At 39.6% G+C, this 14,809-nt stretch overlaps 1 protein-coding gene and 1 long non-coding RNA gene across 5 annotated transcripts in view; one reads left to right on the top strand and one right to left on the bottom strand.

Moving 5' to 3' along the window:
* Positions 1-14,809, top strand: part of LIFR (LIF receptor subunit alpha) — a 133,736-nt gene that overhangs the window by 13,259 nt on the left and 105,668 nt on the right. The window contains exon 2 of one of the 3 annotated variants that reach the window (XM_047417172.1): positions 80-316. The exons of the other annotated variants lie outside the window; for them this stretch is intronic. Within the exon in view, the coding sequence (XP_047273128.1) occupies positions 282-316 (35 nt within the window). The 5' untranslated portion in view covers positions 80-281. The remainder of the gene's footprint in view (positions 1-79; positions 317-14,809) is intronic. 3 annotated transcript variants of the gene reach the window in all.
* LIFR-AS1 (LIFR antisense RNA 1) overlaps positions 1-14,809 on the bottom strand; it is a 114,431-nt gene that overhangs the window by 76,072 nt on the left and 23,550 nt on the right. For both annotated transcript variants that reach the window (NR_103554.1, NR_103553.1), the window contains exon 2: positions 76-223. This is a non-coding gene — a long non-coding RNA (LIFR antisense RNA 1). The remainder of the gene's footprint in view (positions 1-75; positions 224-14,809) is intronic.

Raw genomic sequence — 14,809 nt, 5'->3', positions numbered from 1 at the left:
TCTCAGGGCTCTGACCTTACCTCTTTGTCCTACAAAAGTGTATTTCTTGTGTGGTTTCCTGTGACCTGTACTTACCCAGACTTTCTCCAGTCAATCCTTGGCATCCTACAGAGATGGTCTTCCTCAGTCTTCAGTCTCTGTAACGATACCAGCCCTTGTTTAGAGACCCAGAGTAGAAATGGTCACTGTATACAGTTGTACAGTTTCTGCACCGCACAGACACCTGAGGAAGAGAGCAAGTGGTTAGGAAAATCCAGCTTGCACACTGCTCACCAAGATGAATGCCTGAAGCTGCTCTGTGGAAACCTAGAGGAAGGTACATTGTTTCGCTTTTTTTCCATGTCAGATATTGATAGAATCACATATAACTACATTAGATTATCAGCTAAAACCAGATTAGTGTGTTTTATTGTCATGTCATTGTGTATGTGAACATGAAGACTTTTAGAGTGCCTGAAAATATTTTATGAGAAATAGTTAAATAGCTTCCCTTTTTATTTTTCATTACTAGACCTTATTTCTTAGAGCAGTTTTAGGTTTATAAAAAGCCAGAGCACAAAGTACAGAGAGCTTCATATACCCCTGCCCACCCTGTCCACCCCACTCCCAGTCTCCCCTGTTAGTAACATCTTATGTTAGTGTGGTACATTTGTTGCAATTGATGAATCAATATTAATAGATTAGTATGAACCAAAGTTCATGGTATACATTACTATGTATACTATGTATACTCTTCGTGTTGTGCATTCTATGGGTTTTGACAAACGTGTGATGACATATATGCACCGTTATAGTATCTTACAATAGCTTCATTGCTATTGCTAAAACTCTGCTGTGCTCCATCTGTTCATCCTTCTTTTCTTCCCTGCCTTCTCCAGGCCCTGACAACCACTGATCTTTTAACCATCTCCATCGTTTTGAGGAAAGTACACTTTTTTCTTTGCACAAAGAACTGTCTACTAGCCAAAACCACAGGATGCTTCTGCCCAGAGGAACACCATTTAAAAAAACATGCGCAAAGGTTTTATCGCAGCCAGCCAATGCCTTGAATCCAAGCTCTAACCCAATTCAAGACCTTTCCCTGGATCACGTCCGTGTGTCCTGTCTCTCTTGTTTCCCCTTATCCATCTAGCATATACTTTTCCTGGTAAACGTTTCTATTTTTTTCTGTTTAGGCTGCTGTAACAAAAATACGATAGTCTGGGTAGCTTAAACAAAAATCATTTATTTCTCACAGATCTGTAGGCTGGTAATTCCCAGATCAAGGCACCAGGCAGAATCAGAGCCTGGTGAGCACCCACTTCCTCGTTCTTAGAGGACCGTTTTCTTATCATGTCTTCACATAGCAAAAGGGACAAGGGAGCTGTCTGGGGTCCCTTTTATAAGGGCACTAATCTCACTCATGAGGCCTCTACCCTCACAATCTAATCACTTCCCCAAGGCCCCACCTGCTAATGCCATCACATTAAGGGTTAGGATTTTAACATATGAATTTGGGGGAGACATAAACATTCATTCTGTTGCAATTACCTTATGTGCCCCTCTCATCTACCCACCCGTCTATCCCCCTCCTCTTCTCTGATGCATCTTCTATGTCAGCCCTGTCTGAAAGCATTTTCTGCAATGATGAGAATATTCTACACCTGTGTGGTCCAATATAATAGCCACTAGCTGCATGTGGCTATTGAGCACTTGAAATGTGTCTCATGTGACAGAACTGAATTTTTAAGTTACATTTCATTTGAATAATTTAAACTTAACTCCATGTGGCAAGCAACAATTGTATTAGACAGCATAGGTTTAAGTTTTTACCTATGCCAGATTCCCCATTCTAACAGAATTCATTAACATCCCCCCCAGTTTCATACTGGACATCTTCCCCTCCCCTGCCTTTTTTATGTTTTTTGTTTGTTTGTTTTGTTTTGTTTTGTTTTTTGGTTTTGAGACAGAGTCTAGCTCTGTCACCCAGGCTGGAGTGCAGTGGCTCGACCTCGGCTCACCGCAACCTCCGCCTCCTGGGTTCAAGGGATTCTCCCGCCTCAGCCTCCTGAGTAGCTGGGATTACAGGCGTGCACCACCATGCCTGGCTAATTTTTGTAATTTTAGTAGAGACAGGGTTTGACCATGTTGGTCAGGCTGGTCTTGAACTCCTGGCCTCGTGATCTATCCGCCTCGGTCTCCCAAAGTGCTGGGATTACAGGCGTGAGCCACCACGCCCAGCTGCTCCTTCTCCTTGATTCTTTCCTGGCTAATCAGGAAAGATACAATTGTTCCTGACCCCATTGCTGAAATAGTCAGCTACTATGTCCGTCACATTTATTACCATTAAATTTGCAAATATATGTACAACCATTATATATCCATACAAACTAAAAATAGTTTTAAAAGTATTAGTTTAATTTAATTAAACTATTAGTTTTTTCTAAAAAAATAGAAAAAATGTGCACATATGGTGCCGTCTCACGTAACTTTTTTTTTTTTTTTTTTTGAGACGGAGTCTCGCTCTGTCGCCCAGGCTGGAGCGCAGTGGCGCAATCTCAGCTCGCTGCAATCTCCACCTCCCAGGTTCAAGCATTTCTTGTGCCTCAGCCTCCTGAGTAGCTGAGATTACAGGCATGTGCCACCACACCTGGCTAATTTTTTGTTTTTAGTAGAGACAGGGTTTTGTCATGTTGGCCAGGCTGGTCTCAAACTCCTGGCCTCAGCTGATCTGCCCACCTCAGGCTCCCAAAGTGCTAGGATTACAGGCGTGAGCCACTGTGCCCAGCCTTACATAATGTACTTAAAATTTCTTTAATTTATGAAGCTAGTTGATGTTGCTTGTCTATACCTTTTAATTCTTTCCTCTTTTTTTTTCTTAAAGAAATTTCCAATTTCTTTAAAATTTTCTGTTTAAAACTCTATACTCCCAGAAAACAGAGTAGAGTTACATAACTAATGCTTTATTTGGCAAAAACTACAAGGCCATAGTTAGTGGGCTAATATATGTCAGTTCAGATGATTGTGGCACCACCTTTAAGGCATGAAAAGGAGAGAAGGGAAGAAATAATAACACCAAAAGAAATTAAGAGTTTAAGTCCAAGAGTCAGCATGGAGTGGAGTTAAGGAACTATGGATTGTGGTTCTTGGGAGGCTGGAGTTAGTGGTAAGCATGTCTGTGCCACCAACCAGTCCAGGGCATTGGTGATATCACTGAATCTCTCAGAGACTCAGCTCTCTGCTTCACAGCATGCAGGTTTTCACTAGACCCTCCAATTTAAGGTGTCTTCTAGATCAAAATGCTCTTTAGGTCAAACACAGTCTTAGGAATAACTAGGAAAGTTGAAACAAACTTTCGTCACACAGACTGTTTCACATTATCCCACCTCCTGTCACCCCCTTCTCCCACCTAGCAATGTTTGTGACGAATACACCAACTTTCCTGAGGACAAGAGCAAAACAATATTTTAAGAAACAACAAAACTCAGTTTAGAGTGAGTCACTGGGCCTGACCATGGTGGCTAAACTGACCACAAAAGTTTGTGAATAGTCTATATGGTGTCCTTCAAACATCTGCACAAACCTTTTATTTCCAGTGCTTTGAACAGAAATAAACATAGTCATTAAGCCAAATTCTACATTCTACAAAACAGATGAAAAGTTAAAGCATAACGTTAAGTCCAAAACATTAGTGTGGAGTCCTCAGCTGAATACCTCTTGCCTGCATGCCCATGTGAGCAGTCAGTTAAATGCCTGGTGTCTGTTATATGAGCAGTGGGAAATCTTTGCATACAAAAAAGTGTGAGTTGTACTAAAGTAAAATCAGTATTCTGGATCCCTTAATGTGCACATAATTACCACTTAGGCTTCTAAGCGAAATGATTTGCTAATGGCAACTAAAATGTGACATGGCCCAGAGTGAAAAAATTGATTCATAACTTGGGAAGGTTTGACTAGATTGCCCTTAGGCAAGTGCCTAGAGGGCTTTCCTGTCTCTCCCTAAACCTTGCTTCTGCAGTTCCAATGTACAAAATAGGGATAGGGTTGTTGTGAAGATTAAATGAAACTAGGGCAGGTCTTCTGGACAGATACTATTACAGTGCTGCAAGCCCTTCCTTCAGAATCCTTGGCACCATTACAGTTCTACATTTATTTATATCATCATTTGACTACTGTCCCTCAGCTGACTGTACATTCCATAAGGACAGGATTTATGTCAACTTTTTCTCAACATTGCTTCACCACCTCCTCATAGAACCTGGCATATAAAAGGGAGTCAACAACAATCTTTTGAATGAAATGTGTAAGTCATTTGCAGTCACTGGTGTCAGATCCCCGGGTTTGAATGCTGTGTGCTTGGACAAGTAATGTTTCTGCCTTTGTCTTAGTTCCTGCTTTCTATAAAGGGGAGATAATAATGGTATCTACTTGACTGAATAGTTGTACAAATTTAGTGGGATAATACTTGCAAAGAGCTTGGAACAGTGTCTGGTACATAGTGAGGACTCAATACATGCTAATGAATTTTGATGATGATGATGGTGGCGGTGGACATGCAATAAGCTCTTCATAAATAATAGCTCTTCTTCTAATTGTTATTCACGGTCATCATTGAAACAGTATTTGCCTCTTGATTATCAGTCATAGGTGGTCCTTAGTTACCTAAAATATCACAGGACCACTGCTTTACCTTTCCATGTTATGCCAGGCACAGACAACAGAGGCAGTGTCAAAGGAGATACCCAAATGATGTTTACAATGGTACACGGGTCTCTAGGGTCCAAGGAAAAGTTACCAAGTATTTTCCCACCTCCCTACTTTCATCTCCCTCTTACTTCCCAGTCCCTTCCCCCCATGCTTGTATGGTCTTCTGGCTTTTTGACCAGTCCTCCCTGGGGATTTTCAAGTACCCAGCTTGCAAATCAGCCTCCCCAGAGGATCTGTCTCTACTCATCATAGTCAAAGGATGTAATCTGTTCTCATGTGGAAATAATTTGTTCAGAGAATGTAAATGATCAAAGCCTATATTTCTGTATTCAGGAGAGGAAGAGAAAATAATAGAAAAGACTTGAGGCTAACTCTAGGTCCTGCATTTACTAAGTCACCTCTGATAAATTACTTGGTAAATTATGTCTTAGAAAAACCATTGGTTTGGTAGGAATAATCAAAATGGGATCCGTGTCCCGGGTTTGTAAGAATTAAATGAGTTAACTACATAGATGGTTTGGTTCCAATTAGATAAGAGAGTTTCTAAACAGTGAAAAGTAGAAATTTTGCCACACCCTGCCCTCACAATTCTAGCATTTCCAGGTTTCCAAATCTGGGAAATGTAGCTAAGGGCTTTTCCTTTCTCTAGGGACTCCCTTTACAAGTGGTGGAGCTACTTTCTGCTCGAGGACAAAGAAGGAGGGAGGACACACACACACACACACACACACACACACACATTTTCTTCTCTGCCTTCTGACCCTTTGCTATTGCAACTCTAATTTGGGAATTAAATTTTAATAATTCTAAAATCCCATTTCCGTACTTTCCATATACTATTATTTAATGGAATAAGGTTATCAAATCTTATCCTTAACCCTTTTCCCATTTTTTTAAATTTGATGGTACTAGATTTGAATTTTATAGCATTTTCAAGAATCACTTGGGATTAATTTGGGATTCAATTTCACTTGAGAACTAGCTGTTGTAAAGTTGAATTATTTTTAATAAGCAAAATTACTTTCATCCATTTTATTTTTTTAATAGTTAAGGAACATTCACTTTGATATTCATAGTCCTCTAAAGTATAACATAAGCATTACTATTTCTTGTTTAAACATGATCAGTAGCTAAGTTGTAAAAAAACATGGGGAAAGGAGTTAGCCCTACACTTAAAGGAGGCAGTATCCCAAAGAATATGATTTTTAAAATGAGATCAGTAACATAGAGCTCTTCATCCTGGCTAACACAGTGAAACACCATCTCTACTAAAAATACAAAAAAAAAATAAAAATTAGCTGGGCGTGGTGGCAGGAGCCTGTAGTCCCAGCTAGTTGGGAGGCTGAGGCAGGAGAATGGCATGAACCCAGGAGGCCAAGCTAGCAGTGAGCCAAGATCGCGCCACTGCACTTCAGCCTCGGCAACAGAGTGAGACTCCATCTCAAAAAAAAAAAAAAAAGAAATAACATAGAGCTCTTCAAAGTAGAAGTACAATAAATACCAATAAACATATGCATAATTGGATCTACTTTATTTTTATGGGTAAAATGTATAAATGCATTGCTAACCTATAGATAGATGATTTGGGGAAATAATGAAAAGCTCAGAGTGTTTCATACACTTTCTAGAGTAATTCCAGTTCTAAAGAAAAATTTCCAGGCAAATTCTCAAGTTCAGATCGTAATGTGCCTTTTATCCTATTAGGGGTCATTTCTTTCCTGAGCATTGTAAGGACAATATCTGAGATGTGCTTGATTAATCCATAGGGATTTAAGGCCTTTTGAAAAAGACATTCAAAGACCTAAGCAAATATACCTTCTGATTTTTATAAATATTTTATTCTTTACTTATTTGTCTGAGCAAAATTGCATAACTTACTAGCAACTCCAACCACATGTAACATTTAACTTAAAAAACAAGTAGGGAAGAAAAATGAGGTTTAGTTAAAATTGAAAATTAATTTCTTTTCTCTGTAATACTGACTTCTGTGAGGATTTTTAACAATGAGGTCAATAAAAGTATTTAAAGCCACGGGGAATGATTAGACAGTCTCATCATCCTGCATACAGTGTCCTTCATATTAAAATTCTTCCTCAAGCCCTTTCTTCTCCCCTTCCTTCCTTTTCAGACTGAGCACCTGATCAGAGAAAACCTGCTTGACTGTGTAGCCCTGAGAGTTTGGTTTCCCAGAGGACAGTTCTAGGCCTCTCAACCTAGAACTTTCCACCTGTGTGACCTTGGGCTAGTGGCTTAACCTTCAGAACCTCAGTCTACTCATCTGCAACTGGGTATCCATGTCACATGTTAATGTTGGCATTATATTGAATATTGGGGATTTTGCTAATGAGAGAATGGTTTCCCTCACAACCTCCAATTGCAGCTAACTTATGCTTTGATATAATGTTGCTCTAGGTCAAAAATAAAACAGGCCTTGTGATATGTATTAATGGATAGAGTCAGAAATACAGATTCCAAATTCTACAGTAGCAACTGAGAAGGAACAGAAGGCAGGGCATATCTCCAGGCCAGGGCCTTTGAATCCCTACACCTAATGTAGGCCCAGGCACATGGTAAGCACTAGATACATGTGCTTTTGAAGGGTCTTTTGATGGATTTTGATAAGTTGCCCCGACTAGAATGAAGCTGGTAAAACTAGAAGGCAATAGAGATTCATGGGTTAGGAGCAAAAGGTGGGAATCTAGCCCGCTGGGTTCAAACTCCAGCTTTAAAGTGACTTTGGGCAATGTTATTTCTCAGATTCTGGGTTTAAATCTGATCATTCTTCTCCCTATTTGTCCCCCATCCCGTACACTCTTTTAAAACAGTAACAACCACCACCACCACCATCTTTAATAGCTTTTCACTGCCTTTAGGATAAAGTTCCAAATGTGGCCCACAGCATCTGGTCCCTGCCTATCTCACCAGTCTTCTCTTGCTAGTTCTGTTAGCTCAAGCAATAGTGGCCTTTTTTTTTTTTTCAGTCCTTCGGAAGTGCTACCTGACTCTTTCTTGCTCCTGGGCCGTCTTGTCCAACAGCATCTTGTCTCATCTGCCTGGAGTGATTTTCACCTCCAGCACCAGTAACGCCTCCCTGTTTGCCGGAATAACTTTTAATGTCCAGGCTTAAACATCTTTTTTATCCGTGAGGTTTTTCTTCCCATCCCTGTCTAGGTTAGGACCCCTGGTATATGCTCCTCAGTTTCCCTCTTTCTTGACACTCACTGCATTGGGATGTCTGTTCCCCATTAGACTCCATGGGATGTTTGTGTGTTTGTAGAGGGCTGGGGTGGGGAGGGGTAAGGGGCAGGAGGTCTACTTTTTTCAGTACTGTATTCCCAGGGTGTAGTCCTGTGGCTGTTCATAAAACTCTCCAAATGGATGAGTGAAGGATTTAATATCGAGAGACCAACATCAGTCTACCTTATAGACTGGTGAAGGGTAATGTAGATCAGCACAATTCTTGGCACACAGTGTCTCAGTCAATGGTGGCTATTATTAATAACACAAATGCTTAATTGATGGATTTCTTTCATTTCTAAATTCTTTGGTGGACACTTTTCCAAAAAGGAGAGTTAAAGGAAGATATGCAAGCTGCCATTTTGCACCCATTCATCTGAAAACTATTTGAGAGTTTTAAAGCAGAACGAGTTGAAACAATGTGCCAGACCTAAAATTGGAAGCAACACAGAAAATGGCTTTGATGTGATGGATCTAGTATAATTGTGTGTTTGCAAGGGCCTCGGGTCTGGCTACACTCCAGGTGTAAGCATCCCTAACCCAGTCTATCAATCAGATGTTACCAGTTTGAACGTTTCTGTTGTTTTTTAAACAGAAATATGAGTGGTGCCTATAGGAATCTACATGTTAGCACTTGGAAAATGACTACAGTGAGTATCACATAAAAACAAAATTTGCAAAAGATAATTATGGAATCCACATGAAAGTCTTACATCTGAGGCTTCTACATGAATAATGAAAGGTGAACACTCTAACTACAGTTAGAATTCTGAGGTAGGATTTTCATAATGAGGACCATGTTATGTACAGCTTGGTGTAACAGACTTGTATCTTCTTTTATTTAAACATTATAAGTGTGAGACTTCTTTTATTTCCAACTGACCAGGTCTCTTAAGTTATAAACTTTGCTGAAAATTTAACATAGGTAGGACAGTTTGTCATAATTCTTAGCACTGGAAGAAACTGTGAGTTAAAGGAACGAGGCCATAATGTTGCTATGTCATGGGTCAGAGCCGATGTTTTAAAATGGGGGCTTTTCATTGACACCCGGGTGACAAGAGTGAAACTCTGTCTCAACAAAAAGAAAGAAAAGAAAAAAGGAAACCAAAAGCTTTTACCAGAACCCCAGGCAAATATCTACTTATGTCTCAGTGGCTGGGGAAGTGGGGAAAAGGGGAAGCGGATACCGGATAAGTAACCAAAAGTGATGCTACACTCGGCTTAGTTGCTTCCTATTAGCCCAGTTGCAGATGGGAAACAGAAGGGGATTGACTGCTCTGGGTCATCAATCATGCTCTCTTGGTGGGGAGTGGATGAAGAAGAGAAGATGTGACAGGTCATTTCTGGCAACTTCCAAGTCTATAATAGCCTAGCTAGCAAGGGAACTTACGGACAATATTTTGCCATTGACTTATATTTTTTAAAATTATTATGTTATTTAGAGTAAAGTAGATAGCCATATGAGCTGACCTAGATGCTTTCCTCCATGAAAAAAAAAATGAGCAACTAGGTTACCATTTACAATGGTTCATATGTGACTCTGAATGACTGTGTGTCCCTCTATTTTAGAAATATCTGGGCCTTCCTGATGTCCAGGTTGACACACATCCTGTTTTGCCAAGTTGGAAAGAGTTCTGAAAATCCCATTCCATTTTATTTGAAGAAACTACCACAGCATTTCTTCTTCTAACCCTAATGGGAAGCACATGGAGATCATTGAACGTTGGGAGCCCTTTTATGCCCAAATTATGTTTTTTAAGCAAAGAGCTATGTTAAAGCGACCTCCAAACATGACCCTGGCAAAAGTCAGTAGCCTTGCTTGTTCTGGCCAGGTTCCTGATGTAACCCAAGGTTCTGGGAAGATTCACTTTAATTACAACCCCTTTTGATCTGTTCCTCATGGTCTCTTACATAACATGTATTACAGTTACTAAAACTGAAATTTTCATCTTTGAGCTAATTAAATGGATGTAATTTGTACTTGACTTCTTTTCTTTTAGAAGAGCTGGTTAAGTCAGTATGTTGTACTGTTTTTCTAAAGCACGCAACTTAAATTCTCTTTATTTCTTTAATTTTTGATTTAAGTAAAACTTTAGCTTTTGTATTCTATTACAAAGATAATAAAAACACTTATGGCATCATCTAATTTTTCTTTAGCCATCATACAATATCCTATGAAGAATATTTCTTTGGAAAGCATTTTCTTCTTTTTTAAAAAGTAAATTTTACTGTGTATATTTGAGGCTTACAACATGATGTGATGAGATGCATGTATTAATAGATAGTAAAACGGTTGCTATAATGAAGCAAATTCACGCATCTATCCTCTCACATAGTCACTTTTGTGTGTGTGTGTGACAAAAGCTGCTGAACTCTACTTATTTAACAAAAATCCCTAATGCAATACAATTTTACTACCTATAGTCCCCATTTTTTACATGAGATCTCTAGGTGTGTTCATCCTACTTATCTGCTACTTTTTATCCTTTGACCTACATCTCCCTATTTTCTCCCCACTGACCCATAACCACTGTTTCATTCTCCTTGTCTATTTGATTTTCTGTTTTAAGATTCCACATATAAGTTAGGTCTTGCACTATTTTTTTTTTCTGTGTCTGGCTTACTCACGGAGCATAGTGTACAGGTCCATTTATGTTGTGGCAAGCATTAGGATCTCTTTCTTTTTTAAGGCTAAATAATATTCCAGTGTGTGTGTTTGTGTATGTGTGTATATGCATATATACCACATTTTCTTTATCCATTCATTTGTTGACACTTAGGTTGTTTCCATGTCTTGGCTATGGAACAGTACCACAATGAACATGAGAGTGCAGGTATCTTTATGAGTGGGTGATTTCATCTTTGTGTGTATACCCAGAAGAGGGATTGCTGGGTCATATGGTAGTTCCATTTTTAAATTTCTTTAGGAGCCTCCATACTGTTTTCCCTCATGGCTGTATCAATCTAAATTCCCACCAACATTGTACAAGCATTCTCTTTTCTCTACCATCTCACCAATATTTGTTATTTCTTGACTTTTCAATAATAGTCCTATTATCAAAAGGGTGTGAAATGGTATCTAATGAGTATGAGATGGTGTCTCACAGTGGCTTTAATTTGCATCTCCATGGTTGTATTAATCCATTTTCATGCTGCTGATAAAGACATACCCGAGACTGGGTAATTAATTAAAAAAAAAAGAGAGAGATTTAATGGACTCACAGTTCCACATGGCTGGGGAGGCCTCACATGGTGAAAGGCAAAAGTTACATCTTACATGGCAGCAGGCAAGACAGAATGAGAGCCAATGGAAAAGGGAAACCCCTTATAAAGCCATCAGATGTCATGAGACTTATTCACTACCATGAGAACAATATGGGGGAAACCAACCCCATGATTCAATTATCTCCCACTGGATCCCTCCCACAACACATAGGAATTATGGGAGTCACAATTCAAGATGAGATTTGGGTGGGGACACAGTCAAACCATATCAATGGTGTTTAGTGATGTTGAGTACCCTTTTCATATACCTGTTGATCATTTTATGTCTTCTCTGGAGAAATGTCTGTTTAGCTTCTTTACCCCTTTTTAAATCAGGTTATTTATTTTTCTGCTATTGAGTTATAAATGTTCTTTATAAATTTTGGGTATTAACCCCTTATCAGATACGTGTTTTGCAAGTACTTTTTCCCAGTCTGTAGGTTGCCTTTTCTTTTTGTTGACTGTTTCCTTTGCAGTGCAGAAGCTTTATAGTTTGTTGTAGTCTCATTTATTTATTTTTGCTTTTTTAGCCTGAACTTTTGGTGTCAGTGTTTTCTTAATACACTAATAAGTTCTCATGAGAATTGGTTCGTTTCCAAAAAGCCTTGCATGGTGCTTATATATGAAAGTGAAAATCTACATTACTTAACATAAAGCATATGATTAATACTAGAAACACTCCATTCTCCATGTATCATGAAAATATTAGCATATGTTAGAATGCAAGATCAAAAAAGTGTTATAAGTTGTACCATATTACTGATCATGAAATTTATAACTCATAATTTTGGCCTTCAGTTCAACAGCAGCTCTACGTAACAAGCAAGCATCAATTGAACACGTTACGTATGTGCAAGGCACTCTGCTCTGAGTATAGGGAGGAATTAGCATACTGCAGTGCCTGTTCTCAAACGACTCTTATTCCATCAAGAGGAAACAGACAAATAAACAAATAATTACAATGCAATGCGATCAAACACAATGATAAAAAGTTACACAGAGACCGGATTTAACTCTGTTGGAGGACGGTGAAGATAGGGCGTCAGAGAGGTTTCAGAAGGAAGGCAATGCCTGATGAATAGCTTCTTGATTGAAGGGTGCTGAGGAAGTGGCAGCAGGGAATTCCCTGGGCAGAAGGAAACCAAGTAAGCATTGTGATAAAAGTGCAGATTAACAGTGATGAGAACCGAAACTAAGACAGTGCCAGTGAAATGCTGGCAGGGGATGAATCTGCAGTACTTTGGAGGTAACACTGAAAACCTAGCAATTTGATTTAGTATTGTCCAAAAAGGTTACTAAAGATGAAGCTTACTGGTGGTTCATGGAGATAATTTTGCTGGCCTTGTCTTTTTAATAGATCACTTGATGTGAAGCAAAGTTTTAACAAACACTATATGTGCATAATTTATTTTAATTTGAATATTATATATATATAAATGCCCAAGGCTGTTTGCATAAATAGCATATCTCTAAGGTATTTGTTCTTGCATAGCAACAGACTGAGGGCAAAATAAGAAAACGATGTAAGTATTTAGTGAACATGGAGAAAAAACCAAACTGAGTCTCACTGATCCTTCCAACTCCTTTCTGCCTGATTGAAGGATTTACTTGGTCACCTACCTCTGCATATTAGTTCCCAATCCTGTCTAATAAATTGCCAAGCAACAAACTGCCTGATTTATTCATTCTGTCAGTATGTTCTGAGATGCTTGGAACTGGAGACAGAGAAATCAAGAAAAGGCTGTAGCCAGGCATGGTGTCACGTGCTACTTGGGAGGCTGAGGAGCAGGGATCACTTGAGCCCAGGAGTTCGAGGCTGCAGTGATCTATGATCATGAGACTGCACTTCAGCCTGGGCAACAGAGAGGACACCATCTCTAAAAAAAGAAAAAAAAAAAAGGAAAAAAAAAGAAGTGGTCATTTGTCCAGTGTAATAAGCACATTCTTAGAAGTGAGGCTTGCAAGAATGCGGAGAAGTGAGCTAACTCTACCTGGTGGCAAAAGAAACGCTTCACAAAGGAAGTGATAATGCAGCTTTGAAGGTTTGAAGAATGGGGAAAAGGAGGAATGTGTGGTGGCATTTCAAATATAGGATACTGTGCGAGATCACATTATTGTTTCCAATTACTTGTTCCATCTCCCTGTGACAGGTTTATATTTCCCTGCCCCATTTAAGGTCAATTTTGGCCATGTGACTTGCTCAGCTCAATAAAATGTGAACAGAAGTGATTTGTGTCACTTATGAGCAAAATTCATCGTGACATTCCAGTATTACTCTTCTCCCTCTGACATGTGAGAAAACCATTTCCAGAAAGGACCTGCTCATTTCACTTCAGTCCCAGAAAAAAGAAGACTCTTGGAATAAAGCTGAGGCCAACCTGCAGCCAATGTGTAATATACAAGCAAGAAATAGACCTTGCTGTTGAAAACCTCCAAGACATGGGATGCTGGTTACAGCAGCGTACCTTAGGAAAGCTGATTAACACAAAAATAGTCACTGAAAAGGCACAGGACTATGAAAGGGCATGGAGTGGTTGCGGAATGGTGAGAAGTTCAGATTGGCTGAGAGTGTAGACTCCGCGTTTAGAGAAAGACAGCCAGAAATACTCCAGAAAGGTAGCCTGGGAACAGATTTTCAAAGGGTCTTAAACGTCCTGCTAGGAAAGTTGAGTTTTAGTCTTTAAATAGTAGAAAGCCAGCAGAAGCTAAGGAGTGACCTGATAAGTTTTTTTTTTTCTTAGAAAGATGATTCTAATAGGAGGGGAATGATGCTAGTACCAGGGAAATCAGCTAAAGCGTTTTTATAATCCTAACCACCACTATTTATTGTGCACATACCATGTGTGAGGCATTTTGCACCTATTTACCAAAGTAATACAACCACCCCCTGGGGTAGACATTGTAATGATCCTTTTTTTATAGATGAGGAAACTGAGGCACAGAGAGGTTGAATAACTTGGCTAAGTCACTCCAAAGACATTGTAGCATTAGAGTTCCATCCCAAGCAGTCTGGGTGCCAGAATCCATATCCCACTCTCAGAAGCCTAGAAAGTGGTAATAAGCATCTGAAGCACACGGAGATAGAGAAGAACATCTCGAGTCTCATATTTATGGGGCTGCAGAGGCTGAAGGTGGGCATGAGGTGAAGCTTAGGGGTGACAGAGATGGAGGAGCCACAGATAATGCCTCATTCTTTACTGAAGAGGCTCAATTGGTGCTGAAGCAATGAATTGGAACGAGGGAAAAAAAGAGCAGGTTTAGGAAAGGAAAATGACGAGTTTTGCTTGGGATACATTAATTTTGAGGCAGATGTGAGGTTAGGTGGAGATGACCTACTGGCAGTTAGAATACGGGACCGAAGCTAGGAGCAATGTGGGGTGGAGACAGATCTAGGTGGGGCAGAAGGCCAGGTAGCAGATTAATTCACCCTGGCAGATGTAGAAAGTGACTTGAAAAGAGTGTCAAGGGAAGAATTTGGAGGAACCCCATGATTTAAGGAGTAGATCTAGGAGGAAGAGCCAGAGAAACTTTGACTGGGAGGCAGTGATAAGGGAAAGGAAGGTGGCAGGGAGAGAAGAGAGGATGGGTTTTCAAAATGATGATCACCACAATGACTTAAAAC

The sequence above is a fragment of the Homo sapiens genome, chromosome 5 (genome assembly GCF_000001405.40).
Source record: "Homo sapiens chromosome 5, GRCh38.p14 Primary Assembly".
NCBI lineage: Eukaryota > Metazoa > Chordata > Mammalia > Primates > Hominidae > Homo > Homo sapiens.
This window is presented reverse-complemented; position numbering and strand designations above follow the sequence as displayed.